The 13,823-nt window shown below is 47.1% G+C and overlaps 3 annotated features.

Annotated features, from left to right (window-relative positions):
• Positions 10,770-11,644: an enhancer, noted in NCBI's record as "H3K27ac-H3K4me1 hESC enhancer chr5:3099596-3100470 (GRCh37/hg19 assembly coordinates)". NCBI's record gives its function as "activates a minimal SCP1, AML or CMV promoter by ChIP-STARR-seq in naive H9 embryonic stem cells {active_cell/tissue: H9 hESC(naive)}" and the evidence as "EXISTENCE:reporter gene assay evidence [ECO:0000049][PMID:30033119]".
• Positions 11,645-12,518: an enhancer, noted in NCBI's record as "NANOG-H3K27ac-H3K4me1 hESC enhancer chr5:3100471-3101344 (GRCh37/hg19 assembly coordinates)". NCBI's record gives its function as "activates a minimal SCP1, AML or CMV promoter by ChIP-STARR-seq in naive H9 embryonic stem cells {active_cell/tissue: H9 hESC(naive)}" and the evidence as "EXISTENCE:reporter gene assay evidence [ECO:0000049][PMID:30033119]".
• Positions 12,519-13,392: an enhancer, noted in NCBI's record as "NANOG-H3K27ac-H3K4me1 hESC enhancer chr5:3101345-3102218 (GRCh37/hg19 assembly coordinates)". NCBI's record gives its function as "activates a minimal SCP1, AML or CMV promoter by ChIP-STARR-seq in naive and primed H9 embryonic stem cells {active_cell/tissue: H9 hESC(naive and primed)}" and the evidence as "EXISTENCE:reporter gene assay evidence [ECO:0000049][PMID:30033119]".

Consider the following 13,823-nt stretch of genomic DNA (forward strand, 5'->3'; position numbering starts at 1 on the left):
TGGACCTGTCACCAAGGGTGATAAGCACTAGGCACCCAAAATGTCCTTAGAGATGAAGCATGGAGGAGAGAGAACAAATGTAAAATGTACCTCTGGATAGGAGCCATGAGTGTTGATCTTGGCACATGGAACTGACCAGAATGTAAGACAGACAGATGAGAAACTAACCAAAGTGCCGAGATGCTTATGCTGTCTAAAGAACCACCAGGCTGGACTGAGATTTCAGATAACCCTTCATCCTTAAATGTTTACAAGCAAGAAGTGGGATTAGAAGATGCTCAGCTTCTAAGAAAATCAAGATCTTAATGTGGTCAAGGATGAAAATGAAGAAGACATAATATTCTAAGAAATGAAGCCAATATTTACAGAAAAAAATGCATATAAAATCACTACCAAGGAATAGAATTAGGGGCTAATCAAGAAAAATAAATTATATACTCCCAGGATAGGAAGCTCTCAAAATATTAGTCTGGAAAAGATTTCAGGCCAGGCACGGTAGCTCACGCCTGTAATCCCAGCACTTGGGAGGCTGAGGCAGGTGGATCACCTGAGGTCAGGAATTCAAGACCAGCCTGACCAACATGGTGAAACCTCATCTCTACTAAAAATACAAAAATTAGCCAGATGTGGTGGCGTGCACCTGTAATCCCAGCTACTCAGGAGGCTGAGGCAGGAGAATCCCTTCAACCTGGGAGGTGGAGGTTGCCGTGAGCCGAGATCACGCCATTGCACTCCAGCCTGGTGACAGAGCAAGACTCCATCTCAAAAAAAAAGATTTCAAAATATCATAACAAAAAAGATTTCAAAATATCATAACAAAAAAGAGTTCAAAATATGAACTGTTTGTGTCACGTTCTTTTCCTTTCCAGGTAAGAGTGTTTGTTGCCATTATCCTCTTCCTGTGTCACCATTGTATCCTGAGTCTGTTAGGCGTTGGGAGAGATTGATATAAGGTGTTGGGGTGGGAGTTACTGTAGCTTTCTCCTTAAATCCTACAGCTCATGATTTGAGGTGGAGGCTACACTTCTCCATAGCAATCCTTAACTTTTGGTTTGATGTCATGACTAGATTTGAGAAGACACTGAGAGTATTTTGTGTGGAAGAAAAAATCAGCCAAATATCTGGTGACCAGAAGGGCGGAGTATGTGGTCAGTAGTGCTATTTGTAAATATTTCTGGTTCTCCTCCTCTTGAGCTCATGGTAGGATTGTACTCTCCTCTCCTTTCTAAGCCAGTCATGGGGTGAGTGGCTTGGCCAGCGAAATTTGAGCAACTCACCAGCGTCACTTCAACAAGCCTTTTCAGGAGCCATGTAACCGAGTAAGCCATAGGACCAAGGAATGGCTTGTGATGTGTGCTCTCTGCTAAAGTGGCCAGTGACCTTCTAAGTTGGGACACCTCCAGTCACTCGAGATGGACACGTGCCCTGAGCGAAAAAAACCTTTGCCGCTTACGACAACTGAGATCTGGGTGCTACGTGTTACTGTGCCATGACTTGGCTCATTTTGACTGAAACTGCTGCTGAATGTGTCTTATGTCTTTTCCTAGGCAAAAACTTATTATTAATTATTATTATACTTTAAGTTCTAGGGTACATGTGCACAATGTGCAGGTTTGTTACATATGTATGTATGTGCCATGTTGGTGTGCTGCACCCATTAACTCGTCATTTACATTAGGTATATCTCCTAATGCTATCCCTCCCCACTCCTCCCACCCCACAACAGACCCTGGTGTGTGATGTTCCCCAGGAAAAACTTTTAAGGCCTTTCTTGTGGTTTCTTATGTTCAGCTTCTCATTCTGAACCTCCAGGCTTCCGGTGTTCAGCTTCTTATTAGGAACCTCCGGGCTTCCGGTGTTGTCTGGGAAGATCTCTCACATGCCAACATGTTCTTAGTCTTCATGATTCCCTCATCCTCCCTGGGATCAAATCCGGATCAGCCACCTTCGGTGTGTTCCAGCAGGAACCTCTCCCTCTACCCTGTCCCTTCCCCTACATCCTGTAAGAGAAATCAAGGGATCTGGTTGTTTTAGTGGAAGACAGAGTTGCTTAGATGCAGCTGGCTTTTCACTTTCTAGAAGAGTCTGGAATAGTGCACCTAGGGGAACACAGGGCCCTAGCGACTCCCTCAAAGCCAAACCTGTCTCTCTTCTCCTTCCTGGGACTGCCAGATAGCCACAAACTGGATTTTCTTATCTTCACCTCTGAAAGCTCATTAATTATTGTCCCTCAGAAACAGCTCTCTATCCACATAGCTTTATTCAAAAAGGTCATTCTTTTTTTTTATTATACTTTAAGTTTTAGGGTACATGTGCACAATGTGCAGGTTTGTTACATATGTATACATGTGCCATGTTGGTGTGCTGCACCCACTAACTCGTCATTTAGCATTAGGTATATCTCCTAATGCTATCCCTCCCCTTCCTGCCACCCCACAACAGGCCCCAGAGTGTGATGTTCCCCTTCCTGTGTCCATGTGTTCTCATTAGGAGGAAGGAACCACTCTGAAAAACCTTCGTCACACTATCACCGTCAGAGGCACTGAGATAGCAGCATGCTGCCCACCACGCCGACGTCTTTCTCCCTCCCTTCCTCCATGGAAAAGATCACGGACACTTTTTATTTTATGGCAATTATACAGCAGATCTTTCAAAGCTAAAAATTCCCCCTAAGTCTGGAGGTTAATTTTTCCAATTTACTTTATTATAAATGGAAACAAGAGTCTGATCTCAAAAGGACTGAAAGACAAGAGAAAAAAAACTGACGTGTGCTAAAAGAGGGAAACAAAAGGTTCCTGTTCTCATAAGTCGAAAGCAACATTCCATTCACAGAACACGTGAGGGGGAAAATGTGCTGAAGTGTTTTTTGATGTGGTCTAAGTGGTTCCTACTGTGAGAACTGTCACTGTCCTTGACACCCCAGTCTACAAAGGAGACTCTTTAACGGGATGACAACCTGAGTTTGTCTGAGTTCCATTTGGAAGTTTGGAAAGAAAGAAGATGGCTGAAGGGGCTCCCTCAATGGCTTTTATTTATTTAATTTAATTTTGTTTATTTATTTATCTATCTATGTATTTATTTTTGAGACAGTCTTGCTCTGTCACCCAGGCTGGAGTAGAATGGCATGATCTCGGCTCACCGCAACCTCCACCTCCCTGGTTCAAGCCATTCTCCTGCCTCAGCTTCCCGAGTAGCTGGGGTTACAGGCACCTGCCATCCTGCCTGGCTAATTTTTGTATTTTTCCTAGAGATGGGATTTCACCATGTTGGCCAGGCTGGTCTCAAACTCCTGACCTCAGGTGATGCACCCAATTCCGCCTCCCAGAGTGCTGGGATTACAGGTGTGAGCCACCTTGCCCAGCCCCCTAATGGGTTTTCAAAACAGCATTTGGTATAAAAGGATTGTGCCGCTAATTCTTAACAATACGCTTTCAGCACCGTGTGCTTGCTCACCAGAGACGAGGAGACTCAATGGCTCCCACACTGGGAAGCGGACAGTGTTGGGTGAGGTCAGATGATGGAGTCTGCATGGCCCTCTGTGAGCCTCGTGAAAATCGCTTCTCTTTGCCCTGCAGACATGCTGTGTGGAGGCCTCAGCAACAGGCTCCACAATGTGCAGGAGTTTTGAGGGAGGATCCACCTTCCAAAAAGCAGGCGTGGCCAAGGTTGGCTTTGGTGTCCTCAAACACTGCCTGTCTTTGGTCCAATAAGCCACCCACGGCCTCCCCAGCAGGTCATGTGTCTCTAAGGAAACGTTCAGAACCAGGCCTATGAGGAAAGCCAGGTGGACCAGCCCTCCAGCCCCAGAGCAGGCTTCCCGTGGACAGAACAGAGGTGCCAGCAGATTTCCCAAACCCAAAAATTGCAAACAGCATTCCAGGGCTTGCTTCGCTAAGCTCAAACCTCAGAGTCCCTCCGTTTCCTGTTACCAGTAACTGACGATTGTTTCTTAGACGGTGTTGGCTGATGGGATTTCTGGGGCTTGCGGGTTCAGCGTTCTCAACAATCTCTGACGAGTGAGGTGGTTAGAGAGATTACCCACTTTTGCAGCGGATTTTGCCTAAGTGATGCTATGATTGAGGGCCCCGGAGTCTGCTCCTATTTTGGGAAGGCTCACGGTGTCCTGGGGTTATCAGTGCTCACAACATCACACTCAGGTTATCTGGAAGACGCCAGCGTGGGCAGAGTGTGAAGTGAGGAAGTGCTGTTTGCTGGTGGTGTACAGCAGCCTCCCCTGGCAGTTCGCTACGTGTAGGGGCGGGTTTGCCTTCAGAGCAGGAAGAGGTAATTACGATGGCCCAGAGTGGGAAGGAACCAAGTTTCCATCTGGTAGGAGCTGGCCAGGCCATGCAAACTTCCTAAAAAGACGAAGTTTCACGTAGCTTCGGGGAGTCTGATAGTCATTGCAGAGGCCAATGTTGATGACTAATATATCAGGGGGACTTTATACCCTTAAAGATTAAATCATTCTATTGAAATAAAATACTCTGTTTTAAATACATACGGTGAATGAGGACTTTTGCCCCAATTTGTAAAATTATAGTTTGTTGCTAAAACAGCTTAAGGGTATAAGTATAAATGAAATGACACTAATTAAAACATAAAACGTCAGAAGGGGTGATTTTATCGTGTAAGTTCAAAAGAACCGGGAAAAAAAGGAAAAATAGGTGTTTCTACCATTGGGGGAAAACTTGCTGGAAAAGGCTGGGCGTCCTGCCCCGCGGCTCAGGAGACTAGATCCTTATGTGAGGCCATCTGTCACCTAGGTGAATGTCATGATCTATACATAAATCACTTGCTAGCTCACAAGGAATTCGGACGGCATCACTCAAAACAAGAAATGCCAGGGGGTGGAGAGAAGCAGCACAAGGAATCCCACGGAGGCCGACACATCTCTGTGTAGCGCAAAGATGGTTTTTAGGGACTCTTGTTCCACCACGGTCTTTTCTGCTCCCTGTCTCTATTGTACGTACTATTTAAGATCATACCCCAGCTGGGCACGGTGGCTCATGCCTGTAATCCCAGCACTTTGGGAGGTCGAGGCGGAAGAATCACCTGAAGTCAGGAGTTTGAGACCACCCTGGCCAACATGGCAAAACCCCGTCTCTACTAAAAATACAAAAATTAGCCGGGTGTGGTGGCAGGTGCCTGTAATCCCAGCTACTCGGGAGGCTGAGGCAGGAGAATCTCTTGAACCCGAGAGATGGAGGTTGCAGTGAGCCGAGATCATGCCATTGTACTACTACTTGGGCGACAGAGTGAGGCTCCATCTCAAAAAAAAAAAAAGAGTATACCCCATGTATATCCACACGTACCTACATCTATGTCCATAACCATCTGTGTCTGTATTAATATTCTATTGATTTATGTATCTATATCGGATGGTACTCTATACAAAAACATACATCTATAACCACTTCATGCATATCTGTATCAGATCTGTATCTATATAAATTTCCACATCTGTAATTCTGAATTGCTATGGATTCATATATCTCCATCTGATCTATTTCCATATCTACATCTGTATCTACTTGTATATTCCTTTCCCAGAGCTGCCCTAACAAAGTATCCCCCACTGGGTGACCTAAGCAACAGAAATGCATTCTCTCCTGTTTTAGAGCCTGAAGCCTGAGGGCTGTGAGGGAGGCTCTGCTCTGTGCCCCTGTCCCAGCCTCCAGCCTTTGCTGGCCATCGGCCCATCTCTGCCCATGTGTGCACACAGCCCTCCCACTGTATGCGTCCCTCTCCATGTCCAAATGTCCCCTTGTGATAAGGACACTGGTCATGTTGGATTACTCCCATATGACCTCATCTTAACTAATTCTTTTGCAGTGACTCTATTTCCAGGTAAGGTCATATTCTGAGGTAGTGGGGATTAGGACTTTGACGCGGGAAATCGGGGGAGGGGAGACGTGATTCAGCTCATAACCGTCTGCACCTGTTTCTGAGGCTGCACTCACCTGTATGTCTTCCTATCATTCTCATTGTCATTTGGAAAAAAAAAAGAATTATAAGGTAAAAAACATACTTCATAACGCCGCACTTAGAAATAAGCACTAATAGTTTAATCACTTTTCTTTTTTACATAATAGTTCCATGCTTACATAATGTTTTACATGGGTGGTATACTATTGCATTTGTATCTTCATGCCTTGCTTTTAAGGTTATATCACACAAGCATTTTCCAACATATTGAAACGTTTTTGTTGCTTGCCAAATGTTCATTCAGGTAACTTGGCCAGAACATAGAAGAGCATCCTTTAGTGATTTGACATTTAAAATCCTGATAATCCCGTGGAACATTTCAGGGGCCATCTTTGTGTATAAAATTTTCCTCGACTTAGTGCTACAGTCTGGGATTTTAGTCTTGTACTCGGGGTGTTAAGCTTAGGTGTATTCGCGTCATAAGGCTCTTGAGACCTCTCACTGGTAGCTCTGGGAGAGGTTCTGTCTATGTGTCTCCCACCAGCCTGGCTCTCAGTGTCTTTGGGTGCCAAGGGCAGTGGCCGCAGGGCAGCAAATGCCAGCGTTCTCAGGAGGTCCTTCTCCATCCCGTTGCATGCAGCTTGGGTGCCGACTTCAGCGTCATCAGAGCAACAGAGCACTGTCTTGTAGACTGGACCTGGTGTATTATTTCACTCAAATTTGATGCCCCCAAGGAATTCACACAAGTCAAAAAAATTTTCACAGAAACTGTTGCTTTCAGGTGTGCCAAACATTCCATGAACAGAAGAAAATCCCTAAGATAATGACCCGCAGTATGGGGATTCTCCTTGGGCTCATCGGAGGCCCAAGGTGACTGTCACTTCCATAAACATTTTGTTTCTCATAAAGTAAATCTTGGATTACCAGTTTCCAATCTTAAAATGCATAATGTCTCATTTTCATTTATTTCTCCTTTATTGAATACTTAATACATTCAAATTATTGAGAACTGCCAATTACATAAAAGTGGTAAAACTCAGGTATGAAGCGTTTTAAGTTACAGGCCCAGTATTCAACTGGTTGCCACAAACTGGCAATGATGGCTGCATTAACAACTCTCCCCAAAGTCAGCCATGCTCATGGCTGGATCCTAGGCCCCAGAGGCTCAGGCGTGGCAGGAGTAACGAGGGACCTCTGCATGGGGAGTCTCTGACAGACTTAGTGAAACTTGTTTTCCAAAGAAAACAAGCTCAGATTTGGCATCGCAATGCACATGCTGGGTCTTTGGGATGGATTCTTGCTGAGAAAACTGATTCTGAAAAGGTCACATGATTGATATAAAGATGTAAATATCCATCGTCCTCCTCTTTGGCGCTAACTAATTTATTAACATGATGAAGGCACGGGTTGATGTTCTGAGAGTCAGGTGCTCACACCTATCTTGTACTTGGAGTGGTAAGAATGTAGGATTCTTGTCCAGGGGCAGTGGCTCACACCCGTAATCCCAGCACTTTGGGAGCCTGAGGCAGGCAGATCACGAGGTCAGGAGTTCAAGACCAGCCTGACCAACATGGTGAAAACCCGTCTCTACTAAAAATACAAAAATGAGCTGGGCGTGGTGGTGCGTGCCTGTAATCCCAGCTATTCGGGAGGCTGAGACAGGAGGGTCGCTCGAACCCTGGAGGCAGAGGTTGCAGTGAGCTGAGATTGTACCACTGCACTCCAGCCTGGGTGACAGAGCAAGACTGTGTAAAAAAAAAAAAAAAAAAAGCAGAACATATCTATGCAACGAAAAACCACCTGTGCCCCCAAAACTCCTGAAATAAAAGTACAAATTTTTTAAAAAAGAAGTCTCTGTTTTGCGCCTACCCCTCAAATGCATGGGATAGGGAGTCTCCAGGGTGACCCCCTTCTCACTGCCCCGAGGGCGGAGGTCGGCCCCACTGGACCCCTGATCCTGTTCACAACAGCGAAGTCCTGAGAGGAGATGGATTTGATTAAGCAGCTCGGGGCTCCTGCACAAAAACAAAATGGCTAAAGGAAGGGTTTGCTCTCAGCCCTGCACTCCCATCTCCGCCCCTGTGAAAGCCCTGTTCCTCCACCCACCAGGCACCAAGACAGGCTCTCCCTGTGTTAATTCTCCATCACTGCCAACTCCCACTGGCTCAGTGTGAAACTTAGCTCTAAGAAGTTGTGAGTTGCAGCATTCTATTGCATTCTTTTAAAAAAAAAGTCTTGGACTAATATTCAAGTATGTTTATTTGGAGAATACGTTAAATTAAAGCATCATGTTTCTGAACCTTCAAAAGACAAAGACACTTATTTTATATGCAAGTATTAACATATGTGGAGACATTTGTCAGAAACCTGAGAGAGCTGAATTTTTTGTTTAATAACAGAAACGTGTTTTGCTTTTATTTGTAATGATTTTTACGATAGCAGCAACTGTAATGACCGTGTTTGCCTTCTGATGAATGCTTTGTAGATGGGAGAACCACATGCCTTGGCCTCTCCCGATGTCTGTGTACTCCTGGGCTCCATGGTGCCCCTCTTAGGCTCAACCCTGATCTCCAGGGCTCTAGCCGCCATGCTATTGCCCATGACCATGGTTTCTGGAGTTCACTTCCCCGCTTGCTTTCTCCCTCTCCTTGGCCTCTAGGTTGAGCACCTTCCTTGGGGTTCCCATTTTCTTCTTGCATCCCTTTGTCCTTCACTGTGGGCATATAATTCCCCCAAAGCAGCCTGCATGGCCACTAGCAGTGACTTCACTGCAACTCTGGACAAGAGGCCTCACACCATGCAGGGCCCGGGACCCCTCCTCTTCTAGCCCCAAGAAAATAGACACCATTTTCTTACTGCAAGGTAAAATGCGATAAACCATAAAGGAAAGTGTCATATACGTTTGTCAAACGAGACCATTATCATTGGCCATCTTAATTTGTTTTCTCTGGAATTACTCATTTTAATGCTGGCAATATTTATGTGTGTCTTTCAAATGTGTTCACATATCCTGATGTGACTTGTCTGGAATTTCTTTCAATCTCATGTAAATATTTCTGAAGCATAAACATTAATATATTACATGTTGCCAACTTCTTTATGCCTTCCATACCTCACAGGTGAGGGCTCCAGGGCTGCTTTAGTTTTCAGTTTAAACAAACTAAGATTTCTTAGATACAGCATGGGTTCTGTTGGATTTATGCACAGCTGACCGTCTCTCTCGGCAAATCAACTCTAATAGCATATGAAGAGGCGTGTGTTCAAACATTCATTTCTAAAAACCCAGAATAAACATGTTCAATAAACTAAATGAACATTGTAAAACACATACAAGCAAAGTACTGGTTAATTGCTATGTAGATATCTAGTAGACAATTATTATTAATCTTTGTATTATATTAACAATTAATCAAAATAACTGCACGACATAGTCATATATCTTATAGCAAATCTAATAAAAATGATTAGATAAAACACACAAAGTTAAAATGTGTAAGTTTTGTCATGATTGATTCTAATAGCCACAGATGCGGAATTCCAAAGGTGTCCTTGGGGTGGAACACGCGATTAGCATTATCGATGAGCACTGCTTCGCACTCTGGGAAACAACAGAAATATCTACCGTGGATTTTGGTTTCAAAGTTGAAATGTTTTCCCAGATTAGGCTGGGCGCAGTGGATCACGCCTGTAATCGCAGCACTCTGGGGGGCCGAGGCGGGCGGATCACGAGGTCAGGAGACGGAGACCACAGTGAAACCCCGTCTCTACTAAAAATACAAAAAAATTAGCTGGGTGTGGTGACGGGCGCCTGTAGTCCCAGCTACTTGGGAGGCTGAAGCAGGATGACAGTGTGAACCTGGGAGGGGGAGCTTGCAGTGAGCCGAGATTGAGCCACTGCACTCCAGCCTGGGTGACAGAGCAAGACTCTGTCTCAAAAAAAAAAAAAAAAGAAAGAAAAGAAATGTCTTCCCAGATTAAAATGGATTGCAATCTTCTTTCTAAAGGCATTTTGTGGTCATCACTGTAAAGCCGGAGCATCAGGTTCACATACCCTGATCCCTCAGCAGACAGAACCTGCTTGTTTATGGTGCCAAAAAGTGAACATCTGACTCGGAGAACACTCACCCGCTCCAGTGAAAGGAAGAGAAAGGCCCTGCTCTTTAAGTCTGAAGAAAGGTGACCGTGAAGGTCTCTGTGGGTGGTTAAAGGCAAGATGTAATTAGGATTTCACCAATGATCACCAAAAAGGGAGAAAGACAAAATATATTTAAAATCAAGCCTTGAAACTAGAAACTTCTATATTTTCCCAGTGCTGAAAATGAGCTATGTTTTACAAACCTGAAGCTTGGTGATGTGAGTGATGTGGTGAGAGGAGGTGGAGCATCGCATTCGGTACATTAACGTCTTCAAAGAGTTAAGCTTGCCTAGCAAAACTCTCTGTCTCTTCCTCCCCTTCCCTCCCTCTTCTTTTTCTCACTTTCTCTGTCTCTTTTCTTCTCTCTGTGTCTTTCTCTGTCTCTTTTCTTTCTTTCTCTGTCTCTTTTCCTCTCTCTTTTCTCTGTCTCTTTTCTTTCTTGCTTTCTCTGACTCTTTTCTTCTCTCTGTCTCTTTTCTTTCTTTCTGTCTTTTTTCCTCCCTCTTTCTCTGTCTCTTTTCTTTCTTGCTTTCTCTGTCTCTTTTCTTCTCTCTGTCTTTCTGTCTCTTTTCTTTCTCACTTTCTCTGTCTCTTTTCTTCTCTTTGTGTCTTTCTGTGTCTCCATAGCTCTCCACAGATAGATAGATAGAAAGATCGATACTACACAGTTGGATAGACAGACAGGTAGAAGACAGATAGATAGAAGCCATCAGCACCCACCCCGTCCTGACGCTGTCGAGGATGAGCCCCTCCAGACTCTACCGAAAGCACCGCCCAGAACTCTTGGAAGGTGGCTCATGTTAGCTTAACATGCACACAGCTGCTGTGAAGACATGACGTGCTCCGAAACGCGGGTGTTTCACCGTCTAAATTACGCCCTCCAGAAATTCACTTCCCGTGGTTCCGGAGGCTGGAAGTCCAGGATTGAGGCATCTGCAGATATGGCGTCTGGCAACACCTCCTGTCCAGGTTCGTGGAAGGTGCCTTCTCGCTGTGTCCCCACGGGGTGGAGAGGGCAAGGGGACTACTTGGGGTCCCTCTTTTAAGGGCACTCACCCCATTTATGATGGCTCCACCCCCATGACCAAATCACCTCCCAAAGGCCCCAGCTCCTAATTGCATCCCCTTGAGGGTGAGGGTTTTGACACTGGAATTTTGGGGAACACAGACGTTCAGACCACAGCAATGCTGAAACTATTTCTGAAAAGAATTCAACACATCAATAAAACTGTGCATGGCCCTGTTTCAACACAGCCCTGGAGGATGAGCCAAGCCCATCCTGCCCGGGGGATGCTCTGCACCCCCGTCAGCTCAGAACTGCCTGTCTCCCTGCTCATTTCAGAAGGTTCACGTTCAAAGTGAATGCAGCCTGCTTTCATGTCCCCTCCTCAGCCCCAGCTCACACTTGAGGGCCAGGGGGAACAACGAGTGTGCCTGGGCAGCCAGGTGCGTGCCCTCTCACCTAAGGAACCACCTGTAGAGTTAGGTGCTCTGCTGTCTGGGGAGGAGAGCAAGTCTGGAGTCTTGTCCCAGACAACAGACTCCCTCTAAATGAGGTTAAAAAGAAGGGGTGCCGGGACCAGGCTTTGGGGTTCTACATGGCCGCTGCCACCCCCAAGATCTCATCAGGAGACACCTGCCCCACTCAAGCCTCCAGGGCCAGCCCCACGGCAGCACCACCCCTCCATCGGCCCTGAAGCCAGGCACAGACCCCAGTCTCCCACCTTCCTCCCACACATGCTGGAGAGAATCCAGGCTAGAGACCCCCACCTCCCACACATGGTGGCTCTGGTCCATTCCAGTTCCTGCCGGTGGAGGCCAGGCTGGGACCACCTCACTCTTGGGGGCACAAAGAGCCCCGTCACCGACTGCTGGGCACTGCTGGGGACATGGGTGTTGCTGCTGCTTCCTGCCCCTCAAATGCGATGGCTCCGTCTTCACAGAAAACCACAAGCGCAAACAGGAGATGGATCGGGAAGTTCGGGCATTGGGAATCACAGGCTTGGACAGGAGGCTCATCAGACAGGGAGTATAAGTGAATACGCTGTCCTCCTGGTGCCACAGCCATCCCACACCACGAGCCACCCGCCAGGGAGGGCTGCTGCCACCTGCGTCCTTTCTCTCCCTTGGGCCCTGGTGGAGAAGCATAGCCTGGACAGCCACGGGGGATGGTGGAGGAGGGGAGAACCGGAACCAGGCCCGTGGGCAGAGCCAGAGCCTGTCCCCTCTGCTGGATCTCCGGAAAGGCAGAGGCCACTGCTCAGGGAGAGGCCCCTGCAAGGACCAGCACAGCACAGGGGCCTGGAGACACACCTGGGAGGAGACTGCCAGCTGGTACATGCCAAGGACATGTCACAGCAGGAGTGGCTTGTCCCCAGGCCCCAGCCTCGGCTCTGTCCTCCACCTCCCATCTCCCCCAAGCCCCTTGTCCATGTGACCCTCCCCCGTTCCCCCATTCCTCTCTGACTCTGCAGGGGCCTTCCAGTGAGAGGCCACCTCCAGCTGCGTGGGGCTGAGCGCCTGAATCTGCTCACTCAGATGTAGAATGGGGACAGTGGCCCACCTGGGATGAAGGAAGCTGCGGGTCGTCCCCAAGTGTGAGGAATGCGCCCCCAGCCCCCCGGAAGCCCAGGCATCTCCAGATCCCTAACAATGTCATTTACACTTCTTTAGCTTCTTTTCTCCTAGGACACATTTTCATTTCCATGCTTCCTAAGTCTTCCCCGCCTGCTCCCCTCTCCCAACCCAGCCCGGCCCCCAGGCCATGCTTGTGCAGGTACCAAGGAGAGGAGGAACTAATGATTGACAGGTGGATTTTCTTGATTTTCAGTGTTGGACCAAACTTAGAAAACCTTTGGTAGGCAAAGGAAGCCCATTCACCCACTAGGCTCTAGGTGGAGTGCTCTAGGCCACAGAGCAAAATCCGAACAGCTTATCTCCATTTAGGGAAATTTGTTCCTGACAAACGCTGACTGTACCATCGCACCTCCTCTCCCCCTACAAAGTCCATTCTCCCTCCCCCAGCCCCTGGAGCCTCTGGATGGAGCTCTCTTTGTGTTTAATTCTGTGTCTCCCTCTCCTTTAAATTCCTGTCAACACTGGGCCGTCACCGACTGCTGGCCACTGCTGGGGACCTGAGTGTTGCTGCTGCTTCCTGTCCCTCGAATGTGATGCCTCCATCTTCACAGAGAACACACAGCAAACCAGGAGACAGACAGGAAAGGGCAAGCATTGGGAAATAAAAGAGGGGCACAAAGTTTTCAGAGTAAGGATCGGGGGCTGGGTGCAGTGGCTCACGCCTGTACATCCAGCACTTTGGGAGGCTGAGGTAGACAGATCTCCTAAGGTCAGGAGTTCGAGACCAGCCCGGCCAACATGATGAAACCCCATCTACACTAAAAATACAAAATTAGCCGGTTGTGGTGGCAGGCACCTTTAATCCCAGCTACACGAGAGGCTGAGGCAGGAGAGTCACTTGAACCTGAAAGGCGAAAGTTGCAGCGCCAAGATTGCACTATTGCACTCCAGCCTGGGTGACAGAGCGAGTCTCCATCTGAAAAAAACAAAAAACAAAAAACAAAACAAAACAAAACAAAAAAAGAATAGGGCTAGGGAAGAGGAGACAGGAGGGAGAGGCGGACACACCTGGGGAAACAGCATCTTCTGAGAAAATACAGCGCGAAAATAAGAATAGTTTCTTACAAACACTTAAAACCAGAAGACATGGCAGGGGAGGGCTGGTATCAGGCTTCCATCAGGG

This window comes from Homo sapiens, chromosome 5 (genome assembly GCF_000001405.40).
Source record: "Homo sapiens chromosome 5, GRCh38.p14 Primary Assembly".
Classification (NCBI taxonomy): Eukaryota; Metazoa; Chordata; class Mammalia; order Primates; family Hominidae; genus Homo; species Homo sapiens.